Raw genomic sequence first — 13,818 nt, forward strand, 5'->3', positions numbered from 1 at the left:
GGGATTTTGAATTAAGGCTTTAATAGAACCAGCCATACTGTATATTCACACATCTCTTCACCCCTCACTGAGCATTACACCTGAGGTCTCATTTGGGGTCTTAGTCTGTGAGACTGAGGGGCTGAGAGCAGGAGGATCTCATTTGGCATTTCAGCATGGAAATCTGGCACAAGGAAATCAGTTGCCCCTAAGAATTCTCATCTCCCATTGTGGCATATGGCATTTAAGTTAAATGAAAAGATTTCTCCAGCAGCAAAGCTCACAAAACACTGGGCTGAATCACCTCTGGGAAGACGTGGGACCTTTTATGTAGGAAGATACTTGGGAATTAGATGTAACCCAATATGAGACTGGGGCGTGGATCATTCAACCTTGGAAAGCCCCACAGTCAGGGGATAGGTTGTGATTTAGCCTGTTGAAGGATCAAGATCAGGTATGATCTAATGTGTTGAATAGAGTCAAATGGGTCATTTCACCCAAATTTTAAACTGGCTATTGCCGGCCAGTAATTTATTGTGTGATGCTGGGCAAGACACTTGCCTCTACAAATCGGCTATAAAATTGTAAAGTAAGGACTGGCTTTGAAGGAAATCACTGAGCTGTTTTCTGCTTTCTCTGTTGCTGCTATACTTCAATTTCAACTGTGCTTGTGTCCCAAGTGCCAATATTGCCTCAATCTGGTTCCAACTCCTGTTCCTTAGTAACTTGGCTGGCAGAGAAGCTTCAGAAAGAGAATGGCATAGGTGAAACCATTCTGGTAAATTCCTGCTAAGATATATATGACTAAGAGTTATTTAATATGTGGGATACAGAGAGGAAGTCAGTTACCTTATGGAACAATTTAATGAGCTCATTGCAGTAGCTTTTATTTTGTTTTAGGTGGGCAGATGTTCTGGATGCTTCTTAATTGACATCACTTGAGGTCAGTGCATTTCAAACTTTAATGTACACATGAGTCACCTGGGGACCTAGTTAAACTTGATTCTGATTCAGTAAGTCTGGGGTGGGGCCTGGGACTCTACATTTCTAACAAGCTCCCATGGGTGCTAACTCTGTCTGCTGCTAGGGGACTGTCCTTAGAGCAGAGGCCCGGGTGACCATCAACCCACCTTCAGTGATACTGATGCACTCAGGAAGGAATGAGTTGCTTTTCTCTTTCTTGAAGCCCTTTGACACTCTGCACATGTATCCATTGGAGCACTTTGTGTTGTAATGATTTGTGCGGGGCCCATCTTCTCTATGAGGCTGAAGGCTCTTATACACAGTAGCTGCATCTTATTTATCTCCATTTGCTCTTGACTTCCACCTCTCCTCACTTTAACACTGTGGTTGGCACAAAAAAGGCACTTAATGTATGATGAGGAACAGGCCCAGACAGGCCTGATGGTGATCGGGTGAGCTCATAAATGATGTGGGCTGTTACGTGGCATCTCTGTTCCTGCGTGGCCAGATGGCATAAACCAGTGATTTCCAACCCTGACTACAGATCAGGGGAATTTAAAAAAATACTGATCCCAGGCCCACTCCAGTGTTCTGATTTAATTGAACTGTTTTGAAGCCCAAGTATGAATGACTTTAATAGCCCTCCAGGCTCTTACAGCTCAAAAATAAAAAGACAACCCAATTAAAAATAGGCAAAATATTTGAATGGATATTTTCCCAAGGAAGATTTACAAGTGGCCCATAAGTACAGAAAAAGATATTAAATATCATTAAGGAAATGCAAATCAAAGCTGAGAGATACACTTCACACCTAATAGGACGGTGTGGGAGAATTTCAAACTTTCCCTCTGAAGATTTGAGTCTAAGGCTGTTGAAGTGAATTGACAGTAGATGGATTAACAGGAAAAAAGGCATACAAATTTGCTTGATGTGCCTAAGCATGGGGGAATCGCAGGAGAATAATTACCCAAAAACCCACTGAGGTCCAGATGCTTTCATACTCTTTTACATAGGGTAAGGGGAGACAGGGGGCGTAGGGGTAAATGATTTAGGAGAGATGAATGGACCTTGGAGACAGAAATTAGCTTGGGAAGGATTCTGTTTGTAAATTGAAGGTACTGGAGAACAAACAATAGTTTAGAGCAAAGTTGGTCTGGACTGTAGGTGTGGTGTTTAATTATCAGTCTCTTCCTCTGTGACATGAATTTTAATCTTCTCCGGTTAATGTAATTTTAGTGAAAGGATCAAAGGCAATTGTGTTTCTCTTTAGCAGGCCCAGTTTCTAGGTAGTTCAGGAAATTTCAGAGAATAGCCTCATCCTGTGCTTTGGGAAAGACAGGAGAGGTGGGGGAAGGTCAGAGAGACATTAAGCCAGCTTCTTAATTTGTATGTCAAAGTGCCACATTTTGTAGTATATTTTGTGCCCCCACAATGGATATATTAAAAAAAAGAAAAGAAAAGAAGTGTTGGTGAGGACGTGGAGAACTCAGAACCCTCATACACTGTTGATGGGGATGTAAAATGGTGCAGATGCTTTGGAAAACAGGTTGGCATTTCCAAAAATGTTAAATGTGGAGTTTTTATATGACCCAGCAATTTCATTCCTAGGTATACACCCAAGATAACTGAATTTCATCTTAAAAAATAAAACGTAAAATGCTTCCCAGGGGAATCTGATTTGCAGCCAAATTTGAGAAGCTCTGATGTAAAGTAACCTGGGGTAAATGTTCAAACACTTGCTGTCAAGAGGATGCTGCTGCTGACCAGAAGTTCTCGACTTCAAATGCACATTGGAATGAACTGAGGGACTTCTAAAAAATGCCATTGCCTGGGTGTCCCCAAAATGAGCCTGATTTAATTGTTCTGGGGTACAGCCTGGACAAGCACTGCAGGAGATTCTAATGAGCAGCCAAAATGGACACAGTGCTGATGGTGGTAGTCGTAAGGATTATTGGAGGGCTGTTAAAATGCACTTTCTTGACCTCTGTCTGCAGAAGTTCCGAGTCAGGGGACCTGGGGTGGGGCTGGGCATCTTCATTACTTTTATTTTTATCTCAAAATTTTTTTTTGAGACAGAGTCTCACTCTGTCACCCAGGCTGGAGTACAGTGGCATGATCTCAGCTCACTGCAACCTCCACCTCGTGGGTTCAAGCAATTTTCCTGCCTCAGCCTCCCAAGTAGCTGGGATTATAGGTGCCTGCCACCACGCCCAGGTAATTTTTGTATTTTTAGTAGAGACGGGGTTTCACCATGTTGGCCAGGCTGGTCTCCAACTCCTGACGTCAAGTGGTCCACCTGCCTTGGCCTCCCAAAGTGCTGGGATTACAGGCGTGAGCCACCGTGCCCGGCTGCATCTTCATTATCAACAAGCTCCTTGATGATTGTGATGCAGGCGGCCTGGACCACACTTTGAGAAGCACTACTTTAGGGAAGGCCTCTCGGAATGGAATGTGCATGCAAATCACCTGGGGACCTTGCTAAACGGGAGCTTCTGATTCTGCATTTCTAACCAGCTCCCAGATGATGCCAGGGATGCTGGTCTGCAGACTGCAGCTTGTGTAGCAAGGCTACATAGCCGTGGTTCTCAAAGTGTGAGTCCTCAACGGGCATCAGTATCACTTGGGAACTTGTTAGAAATGCAGATTATCAGGCCGCATCTCAGACTTACTGAATCAGGAACTCTGGGGGTGGAGCTCAACAATGTTTTTTTAAAAAGCATGATTGTATACATTCATGATACATAACATGTATATATACATTGTGAAATGACCACAATCAAGCTATTTAATATGTTCATCATCTCGCATAGTTATCTTTTGTATGTGAAAAGAACACTTAAAATCTACTCTTAGCAACTTTCAAGTATACGATACATGATTATTAAGATTATTAACTGTAGTCACCGTGCTGTGCAATAGACATCCAGAAATTAGTCATCCTGTCTAACTGAAACTCTGTACTCTTTGACCAACGTCACCCATTGCCTCCGCCTCCCCAAGCAGTCTGTTTTAGCAGGCTCTCCAGGTGATGCCGATGCACACTGGAACTTGAGAACCACTGTGGAGGGCTATCAAGTGCTTCTAGTCCCTCCCAGATGCTTCCCAACCCTGGAGCAGCACCTCAGTAGAGCAGCGGAAGACCGCCTGTGGCCTCTGGGAATTGCTGATACCGAGCAGAGACAGTCCCTGACCAGAGACGTTTAGGAATGTGATGGTGGGTGCTGCTAAGGATGAGAGAGTTATTCAGCCCGGGTGGCACAGGGAAGGGCCAGCTTAGCAATGGGCCACTGGGCATTAACGGGAGTGGGGGGCACATTTGTGGCAGGAGTGGATTTGTGAGCCAGGGCCTCCAGTCTTCCTGCATTCCCTCTACAGCTCAGGGCACCTGCCATCCTGGCTGCCCTCAGGTCCCTTGGAAAAGCTGCCCAGGAACCTTGGTAAGTGTTAGGAACGTCATGTGTTACTTCTTTCAGGGTCATTTGCATTTAAAAAGCGGCATTCTGGAGAAAGCACTGTTTCTAAAGTGGAATTTTAAGCTTTGAGGCTCCTCGGTAGGAAGCTGCCTGGTCTTCAAATCCCACCTCCCATATGGATGCAGCTCTGCCTACAGCTTTTCCTGGTGATGGAGGGCAGGCCCCCCTCTGGGTGCAGGCGGCTGGAGGAGCAGGGGAAGCAGGAGCTAAGGAATTCCCCATCGCTTGGCTGCCTCTTGGAATCTCTCACAGCCCCATCCCCTGTGGGAGAGAGGCAGCAATTAGCATAACTGGAACAGACTCTCTTTGTCTACATCCCAGACTGTGGGATTCAGGCCTCCCCCAGAGACATGCTAATTATGTGGAAGGGACCCTGGGTGCCTGTTGGCACCGATGCTGGCTCCTAATGCTGCTACTTTCCGATCAGAAACCAGGTGTAGGTGGAGCCCTGGCCCAGGCTTGTGCATTGATGAATGCTCTCCTCATCCAGGAAACCTGCTGCATGGGCCGCTCGAGCTCTTTCAAATATCTTTCTCCTGCAAATTTCTACAGCTCCTTGTGGTCAGAACAACTTGCTAGCTCTTGGCATTATCTTTTATTGTCTCATCCGGGATTGGTTTTGCTTCCCCTCTAAATTGCAGTTCCTTTACAGGGGACCTTGTTTTATATTTAATAAATCAATCAACCAACCAATGAATATCTATTAAAGAAACTATTTGCCAGGCACAGTGCCAAGCCTGGAGATACAAAGATTAATAAGGCCCCACCTGGAATGAGGCGTGTGCAGCCCAGCGGGGGTGCAGAGGTTACAGCTGAGTGAGCTGCTGTGTATTCCAGTGAATAGAGGGAGGTACTGAATGCTCTGGGGTTTCTGAGAAGAGAGCACTGTAATGTGCCCGGGAAGGGCAGGCAGGTGGGGAGGAGCTGAGGAAGGCTTCCTGGAGGAGGTGACATCTGAACATTATTAAGGATGAGTAGGGGTTTATCACACAGCTGTTTCAGACAGGGAAAGGCATGTACAAAATCACATGAGCGGGAAGGGTTTGAGGCTTTCTTGGAACGACAGGTAGCTAAGGTCATTCAGCTATGGCTAGACGATGGAGCATAGCTGGGCCATGGAGAGGCAGAGAGGCAAAGTGGAGACCCCGAGGTTGGGTGGGTCCTAAAAGGCTCTGTCTTCCAAGCTAAAGAGTTTAGGAGCTGACTTGAGGGCACTGGGCAACCAGTGAGGAATTTTAATGAGAGGGTCATGTGGTTAGAATTATGTTTTAGAAAGAGAATGTGCGTTAGGCTGTTCTTGAGTTGCTATAAAGAAATACCCGACTGGGCCAGGTGCGGTGGCTCATGCCTGTAATCCTAGCACTCTGGGAGGCCAAGGTGGGTGGATCACCTGAAGTCAGGAGTTCAAGATCACGCTGGCCAACATGGTGAAACCTCATCTCTACTAAAAATACAAAAAAAAGAAAAAGAAAAATTAGCTGGGCATGGTGGCAGGTGCCTGTAATCTCAGCTACTGAGGAGGCTGAGGCAGGAGAATTGCTTGAACCTGGGAGGCGGAGGTTGCAGTGAGCCAAGATCGCCTCACTGCACTCCAGCCTGGGCAACAAGAGCGAAACTCCATCTCAAATAATAATAATAATAATAATAATAATAATAATAATAATAAAACTTCACTAAAAAAGAAATAACCGATTAGGTAATTTATAAGAAAAGAGATTTAATTGGCTCACAGTTCTGCAGGCTATATAGGAAACATGGTGGCCTCTGCTTCTGGAGAGGCCTCCGGGAGCTTTTACTCATGGCTGAAGGCAAAGTGGGAGCAGGCCCTTCCCATGGCGGGGAGCTTGGGGAAAGGTGCCACACTGTACAGCAACTGGATCTCAAGAGAACTCACTATTGCTAGGTGAGCACCAAGCCAGGAGAGATCTGCCCTCTTGACCCAAACTCCTCTCACCAGGCCCATCCCCAGCACTGGGGATTACGATTCAACATGAGATTTGGGCAGGGACACATATCCAAACTATATCAGAGTGGCTGCAGTGTGGAGAACAGACTATTGGGGTGTCTGGAAATGCGGAGACTAGGAAGGTATCAGAACTGCTGAGGAGTGAGACCAAGGCAGGGACAGTGGGGAGAGAAAGGAAGCTGTGAGGAAGAGGGGGTTTGGGGATGATTCCAGCTCAATACCTGGGGTTGGAGCCAGGGTACATGGTGGTGCCATGGGAATGGAGACCGAGGAGACATAGAAAGCACAGTCATGGTGGAGGAAGGGAAGCTCTCTTCCTGACAGGTTTTCCCCTGGGAAAGATATCCACAGAGTGGCAGCCACCCCTCTGCTTTCTGTGTCTGTGGATTGGCTTGGTGGAGCTAACTCCTGGGAAGTTAGCTCCCAGGAGTTAGTCCAGACATATGGGTCTGGACTGAAGGAGAGACCTTGATGTTGGAGGTGGTGAAACCTGGTGCCTTAGAGAAGATGTTTTGGAGACCGAGCTGAATTTGAATCCTGGCTTTGCCTCTTCCTAATTATACACATTCGAAGAAGACATAACATACGCTCTGTCTGTGTGTTGTTTGCCTTGTTTGTTAAAAAGGAGTCTAAGTACTATCTTGTAAGATTATGGGAAGACTAAACAAGATAACGTACATGAAGTGTTTAGCACAATGCCTGGGACATTATAGGCACTCAGGAAACTGTTTTAATCAATGGGGGTTGGGGGGGGTGGGTGGTAGTTGAAGCTGGATGCGAATACAATGACCCTGGGGAAATAGAGTAGCATGAAAAAAGAAGAGAACCAAAAAGAGAACCACCAAGGAGTTAGCAGCCAGGGAGGCAGGCGGGGTAGGGAGAGGGAGGCCAAGAAAGGAGGAGAGAGTAACCAAGAGACCCAGATACATTAGGGGGCTTCTAAGATGCAGGTGAGCTGTCTGGATCATCAATGATGAGGTGACTGGTGATTATAGAACAATTTCAATGGAGTGGGGAATGAGTGTGGATAATACTTTCAAAAAACCCTGCTATGAAGGATAGGAGATAATAAAATGAAGAAAAAAGGGACAGGTGTAGGGAAGGCTTCTGTTTTAAGGCAGATTTTGTACATGTCTCTGTCCTTTCACTTTCCACATTTTACTGAAATTGGCTGTAGGTGGATGTCTGCCCTGCAGCTACCCCTCAGCACCCCTGCTCACTGCTCCCCAGCCTCCCCTTGGCACCCCTGCTCACCTCAGTCTGGGCTGCACACTGTTGTCTTAGCCCCGCAGTCCTCTGAAGAGCTTTAGCAAAGCACCCACATGGTTAGCTGGGGTTGCTGGTTGTGTATGCATCTTCCCCCACGAGACTGTGGGGAGCATAGGGACTAGGCCTTCTGTGACTTCAGCCGCCTGCACCTATCCCAGGGCCTGGCACAAAATACGTGCTCAATAGATGTCTCTTGAACCAGCTTGTGTGAGCAAGGTGTTGGATAAAGGCTCCTGCTGCCAGTCACTGCCTACCTGGGGTGAACTGTGAGTGTCCTGGGGTTGGAGGTGAAGGACATATGGTGACTCTGGTGTAACCGAGAAAAATGGTGCAAGAGCAAAGGGATCTGAGGTTGCTCTGATCATTGACCTAAGGCCAATGTCTTGTGAATAGATGCTTAAGTGCGAGCTCAAGCACATTCCCCTCAGGTACATAGACCCAGAATAGCTTACTTATTTGTTCCCATAACTGGTGTTGTGGGTGGCAAGGGTGTGCTGAGTCTTGTCCTTACCGGGCCATGAAGAATCTTAAAAGGGAAGCAGAAGTTACCAGTGTTGATTTCACAAATAGGTGCTAACCACTCACAAATAATATTTCCCTCCTCACTGATGCCTAGAATTTTCCTGGTCTCTGTAAGTGTGAGTTGCAGGGGCGGGGACACATCTTAAGTGCTGTAATAATCTCAGTCTCCTCATCTGGAAAATCAAGGTGTCATTCCAGCTTTCGGTGGCTCTGATTCTGCTTTCAGGTCCGTTCTTGAGAGTGGGTTTTCATCAGAAGGGCCTGGAAGAATGTTAAGCAACTGAGAGGGAAGGAGGGATTCTTTGGAGGGCAAAGGGCTCTGCCTCCCTCCCTGCCCCCAGGCCACTTGCCATCCCATTGAGGAGTGAGGATGACCACAGCAAGTCTTAGGTGATTAGAGGTTTAGGTAGAGCCATGTATATGTGCTCCAATGAGAAGTGGTTGTTTGGACTAGACCAGTTCAGACCTGCCCTGAAAGTAGCCCATAGGCCAATGAGGTGGGCTGAGAACTCTCTGGTTCTACCCTGTGCTGTAACCAACCTTTCAAGGTAATCTAGCACCAGAGCAGACCCAAAACTGCAGGGAGAAAAGGCAGCCTCCTGGGTGCCCTTCCTGGTGCATCCTTCTCTCTGTTCTACAGCAAAGCATTGAAGGAGCTTCTGCCTGCAATTGGCACCGTGAAGAGCTTAACCCACGAAGGCCTGGTTTTGAGTCTTGGTGGGTGGAGCAGAGATTCTGATAAAACTCTGTTCTCTCTTTTCTTTAGCCTTGAAGTTTCAGGCAGGAAAGAAGAGAAGATGATGCATCGCTGGGCTCTGCAAAGGGCCTGTTTTCTAAAGGCATTTGCCTCTCTGTCTGTGCCTAGCCTTGGGCTGGGCAAAGAGGGGTTGCCCCTAACATACTTGGTGATTGGCTGGATAAATTGTAAGCTGAAAAAACAAAGTGGTTTTCACGTTTCCTAAATTATTTATATTGAAATTTGCCATTTCAATCTGACTCTGAAGGAAGCTCAGATTGGTTGTTTGAACAGGGAGCTCTGTGCTCTGGGTCCTTTTACTTTTGCAGTGGGATGTATTCCCAGACCACCTCCATCAGGCCGGCTGGAGAGCCTGGGGATCCCAGGGCAATGTTTTTCCCCACCTGGCTCAGATCAGGCAGGGAGAGCATGTTTTGTGACTTGCTCAGAGCTTGTTCCAGGAAGTGTTCTTATATCCTGAAATGGAAGAGACCTTTTCTGATACACTGTTGCCAAATGGGCTTGGAGAGCATGAAAGAATTACAGCATCTTCAGAGTCTGTTTATAACTTCAGATGCAAAAACTACACTCTGTAAAGGGGAGGCCGTGCACTTTTTAGGAAAAAGCTGTGAATTAAGGAGTCAGGGGCTGGGTGCGGTGGCTCAAGCCTGTAATCCCAGCACTTTGGGAGGCCAAGACAGGTGGATCACAAGGTCAAGAGTTCAAGACCAGCCTGGCCAAGATGGTGAAACCCCATCTCTACTAAAAATACAAAAATTAGCCAGGCGTGGTGGTGGGTGCCTATAACCCCAGCTACTCGGGAGGCTGAGGCAGAGAATTGCTTGAAACTGGGAGGCAGAAGTTGCAGTGAGCCAAGATCGTGCCACTGCACTCCAGCCTGGGCAACAGAGTGAGACTCCATCTCAAAAAAAAAAAAAAAAAAAAAAAAAAAAGAGTCAGAAGACCTGAGTGGTTCTGCTACTTGAGATCCATGCATGCTTCAGCTACCCCGGTCTCAGTTTTCTCATCTATGAAATGGGAACGATAATACTTTTCCTAGCTTGTTTTGAGGATCAAATGAAATAAAAATGTGGAAGGGCCTGAGGAGCTGGCACATGCTGTTCTGATGTAAGAGTTGACTCTTTTGATTACAGACCAGCTGGACTCTTCCTACCTGATATCTGCTAAAGCAGACCACACTGGCTTGCAAGGGGTGTGGGGTGTTTGTGGGTGTAGGGTGCTTTCTGCTCAATTTGGGGGCCCTCCAGCTTGGCAGCACCATCTGTTGCCTTGTGTCTCTTGCCCATTCTTCCCTGAGCTAGAGCCAGTTGGGGCTTCAAAGCTGGCAATGTGGGGCTGGGTGCAGTGGTTCATGCCTGTAATTCTAGTGCTTTGGGAGGCCAAGACAGGAAGATTGCCTGAGCCCAGGAATTCGAAGCTGCAGTGAACTATGACTGTGCCACTGCACTCCAGCCCGAGTGAGAGCGGGACCTTGTCTCAAAGAAAAAAAAAAAAGAAATTGCTGGCAATGTTTTTCTAATTTCTGCTGAGTGAGCAAACCAAGTGTTCCTGGGACTGCACTCCCAGTCCCTCCAGAAGGCCATTGTTGGGGAATGATCAGGAACTGGCCTTTATCTCTGCGACAGTTTATAGCCAGTCAGGCATTTTATTGTTTCCCCAGTTACGACGTGATTGGAATGTGGCCATCTCTTCGGAGCACTCCTGGAGGTTGAATTAATAAAGGGGATAGGCCAGGGAGTCCTGTGCTGGACAATGGAAGCTGCAGACTTGGGATCGCACAAACTCCCAGAAGTTCTTTTTTGGAAGGGAGGCAGCTGAGCTGGAAAGGGTTGAAAATCTGGAGTTCTCCTTTCGTATCTGGCTGCTGGGAGTGGGGTAGGTTGGGTTAGAAATCCCTAGCCATCATCTTGTTAAAACACTCCTGTGAAGCAGGCCAGTGCCAGGGCAGGGGGTGGTGGCTTCCTGGGGCCATCTCTGAGTGGTGGCTGAGCCAAAATGTTGGAACGAGGATGGTAGAATTCAGCCAAAATACAATCCGTTTCACACAGAGAGCAATTTTGAACAAAGATACAAAAATCAAAACCATCAGGTTTTTGCTCTTAAGGAACTTACGGTAAAGAACAATGAACAGAGCCACTTGGATGGCTGTGATCTGTGGTGGAATGCGATAGCTAGTACTAGGGAGGTACCAACGCGTGTGACAGGGGTTTAGGGTATTGTTGGGAGAGTCCCAGAAATCTGTTGTGGGTGCCTGCACCAGCCGAGGGCATCTGCAGAGCCACACCAAGCCAGTTGTGCATTTCCATGGAGATCCATGTTTTTGCCTCCATGAGCTGGTAGCCTGAAGGCATGAATTCATCAGTCTGAGCTGTGAGAAGAATGCATCCTCCTAGAGCTCGAGCAGTCCCTCTGGAGAGAAGCTGCTATGTCATGGGCCAGATCCGATGCTTCCTGGGGCTGGCTACATGCCTTGGAAGGCAGTTGCCCAAGGGACTGCAAGTCTGTCACCCCTGTGATGCCTTAGACATTCTCCTTGATTTGAAATAGGCCTTCGCCAAAGAGAAAGACCCTTCCCTGCTAACTGTGCCCTGGATTCCACAACCTGCTCATCCCACCAAACGTTGTCTCCCATATATCTTTAACACCTCCCCTCTGGGCTAGCTTTTTCTATCTGCATTTAACATTTTCAAACCTCATTCATTTAAAAAAATGAATAAATAAACTTCCTTCCCGCTGCCTTGCCTTCACAGCCCTATGTTGCTACCTTTCTGTTTCTCATACCTTCTGGAAGGTGTTTTCTAAACTTGCCCTTTCCACACTACCTTACCTCTCATTCCTGCCTTAACTCACAGCTGTCTGGCTTGTCCTTCTCCTCAGGACCAACACTGCTCTCAGTGAGGTGCCAAGATGCCTGTGGGTAGGGCCAATGTTCATCCTTCTAGATAGATTCTTGACAGAGGTCAAGACAATTCTCTTGACCTCTTTTTTGTACATGTGAAGGTTTGTTGTATTGGTGAACTCTTGTCCCAGGGGTTTGTTGTACAGATGATTTTATCACCCAGGTATGAAGCCCAGTACCCAATCGTTATTTTCTCTGCTCCTCTCCCTCCTCCCTCTCCCTCCTCCCACTTCCTCCCACTCTCCACGCTCAAGTAGACCCCAGTGTCTTTTGTTTCCTTCGTGTTCATGGGGTCTCATCATTTAGCTCCCGCTTATAAGTGAGAACATGTGGTAATTTGGTTTTCTGTTCCTGCTTTAGTTTGCTAAGGATGACATCTTCCAGCTCCATCCATGTTCCCACAAAAGACATGATTTCATTTTTTATGGCTGCATAGTATAATATTCCATGGTGTACATGTACCACATTTTCTCTCTTTTTTTTTTTTTTTTTTGAAAAAAAATTTTTACCTTACCCCCCAGGTTTCGCCTTTTCTTTATCCAGTCTATCATTGATGGGCATTTGGGTTGACTTCATGTCTTTGCCGTTGCGAATAGTGCTGCAATGAACATTCGTGTGCATGTATCTTTATAATAGTTTATATTCCTCTGAGTATATGCCCAGTAATGGGATTGCTGGGTCAAATGGTAGTTCAGCTTTTAGATTTTCAAGGAATTGTCACACTGCTTTCCACAATGGGTGACCTCTTGTTTCTCAGAAAAAAAAAATCCCATTCTTACGGTCTGTGATCCACACCTGTTCGTGGTTTCCTGGGTCTCCAACTTCCTCTCCTCAGTCTCCTTTACCAGGCTCTGTTCTTGCATCCTAAACACTCTCTTCTCTCTCTCTTTTTCCTACATTCACTCTCAGCTGTTTCTCCAACATAATATACAAACCACCACCAATCCCTCATTCCTAACTGGACATCTTTCCTGAGCTCAACCCAGCTGTCTCCAGACACCTAAACTGAGTGGGTGAGACTTAGTGTGCCCCCCTCTCCCTTTCCTGTGCCTCAATGAGCAGCTCAAGCCAGAAGGAGTCTGTGACTGAAGTGTGTGCTTGTCTCTGTGTGGTGACTGATGAGTACAGGACGCTCCTTGGAACCCATGATTTCTTCCCCATCCTCTGAGAGCAGGTTTGGAAAGGAGAGAGAGAGAGAGATTGAGAGAGAGAAATGGGGGAGGGAGGAGAGAGGCATGAGACGGAGCAGGTTTTCTCTTTTAGAAATGAACATGTTTTATTCATGTTTGCGACTTTGTAATAATGAACGGTTGTCAAGGCAGGATGCTGGCAGATTCCTCTCCAAGAATGCCCTTGGGGCTGAACCCAAACAGGAAAATCATCTTGACCTTTTCCTGAGATTAGATCTGGGTCGGGCACCTCATCAGAGAGTTGATTTAACAGCTGAAGTCCCCTGACAAGAAGTGGTGACTGAGGGGAGGGCTGGGCAAGGAGGGAGGGTTTTTAAGGAAGGGCTGGGTGTGTGAATGTTGCCACCGCCGGGCGGGGCTCTGTAGCCCTCATGAGGGTGGACGCCATGCTCCCCATCTCCTAGCACAAAGCTTCAGGGAAACAGACCCTAGAGGACCTGGCAGGCTGGGGAGAAAGGAGGCGAGAGGCTGTAGCAGTGACATAGGCTAAACTGACCTCACCCCCAGCCGGGAGCTTGGAAGCTGCAGTGCCACGTGGGCCTTCAGGCTGCTCTGGTGGCTGTGACCACAGGCTGCGGAATGGCTTCTTGGCTTCTCTATGGCTCCTTGCTGTTCCTGGTTTTGAACAGTTGGGATGACTCCTTGGAAGGTTGGCTTGTGGCCTCTACCTTTCTATTTATTTTTTATGTTTGTATTCTTTTTTAGCCCTTACATCATTTGTAAGGCCTCTCCTTTACTAATGCGTTCTTGCTCCTTCCACCTTTCCCCCCATGTTCTTCTCTGATCCCAGTTACCTTTTC

General features: G+C 47.1%; 1 long non-coding RNA gene across 1 annotated transcript in view, besides 3 other annotated features; it reads left to right on the top strand.

Annotated features, from left to right (window-relative positions):
• Positions 342-1,541: an enhancer, noted in NCBI's record as "P300/CBP strongly-dependent group 1 enhancer chr18:47135425-47136624 (GRCh37/hg19 assembly coordinates)". NCBI's record gives its function as "activates an origin of replication core promoter dependent on BRD2, BRD4, P300/CBP, MED14 and CDK7 cofactors, with strong dependence on P300/CBP, by STARR-seq in HCT116 cells {active_cell/tissue: HCT116}" and the evidence as "EXISTENCE:reporter gene assay evidence [ECO:0000049][PMID:35650434]".
• Positions 3,888-4,764: an enhancer, noted in NCBI's record as "OCT4-NANOG-H3K27ac-H3K4me1 hESC enhancer chr18:47138971-47139847 (GRCh37/hg19 assembly coordinates)". NCBI's record gives its function as "activates a minimal SCP1, AML or CMV promoter by ChIP-STARR-seq in naive H9 embryonic stem cells {active_cell/tissue: H9 hESC(naive)}" and the evidence as "EXISTENCE:reporter gene assay evidence [ECO:0000049][PMID:30033119]".
• The window catches only part of LOC105372112 (uncharacterized), a 127,792-nt gene continuing 117,952 nt past the window's right edge, over positions 3,979-13,818 (top strand). The window contains exon 1 of the long non-coding RNA XR_007066363.1: positions 3,979-4,156. This is a non-coding gene — a long non-coding RNA (uncharacterized LOC105372112). The remainder of the gene's footprint in view (positions 4,157-13,818) is intronic.
• Positions 4,765-5,640: an enhancer, noted in NCBI's record as "OCT4-NANOG-H3K27ac-H3K4me1 hESC enhancer chr18:47139848-47140723 (GRCh37/hg19 assembly coordinates)". NCBI's record gives its function as "activates a minimal SCP1, AML or CMV promoter by ChIP-STARR-seq in naive and primed H9 embryonic stem cells {active_cell/tissue: H9 hESC(naive and primed)}" and the evidence as "EXISTENCE:reporter gene assay evidence [ECO:0000049][PMID:30033119]".

This window comes from Homo sapiens, chromosome 18 (assembly GCF_000001405.40).
Source record: "Homo sapiens chromosome 18, GRCh38.p14 Primary Assembly".
Taxonomy (NCBI): Eukaryota; Metazoa; Chordata; class Mammalia; order Primates; family Hominidae; genus Homo; species Homo sapiens.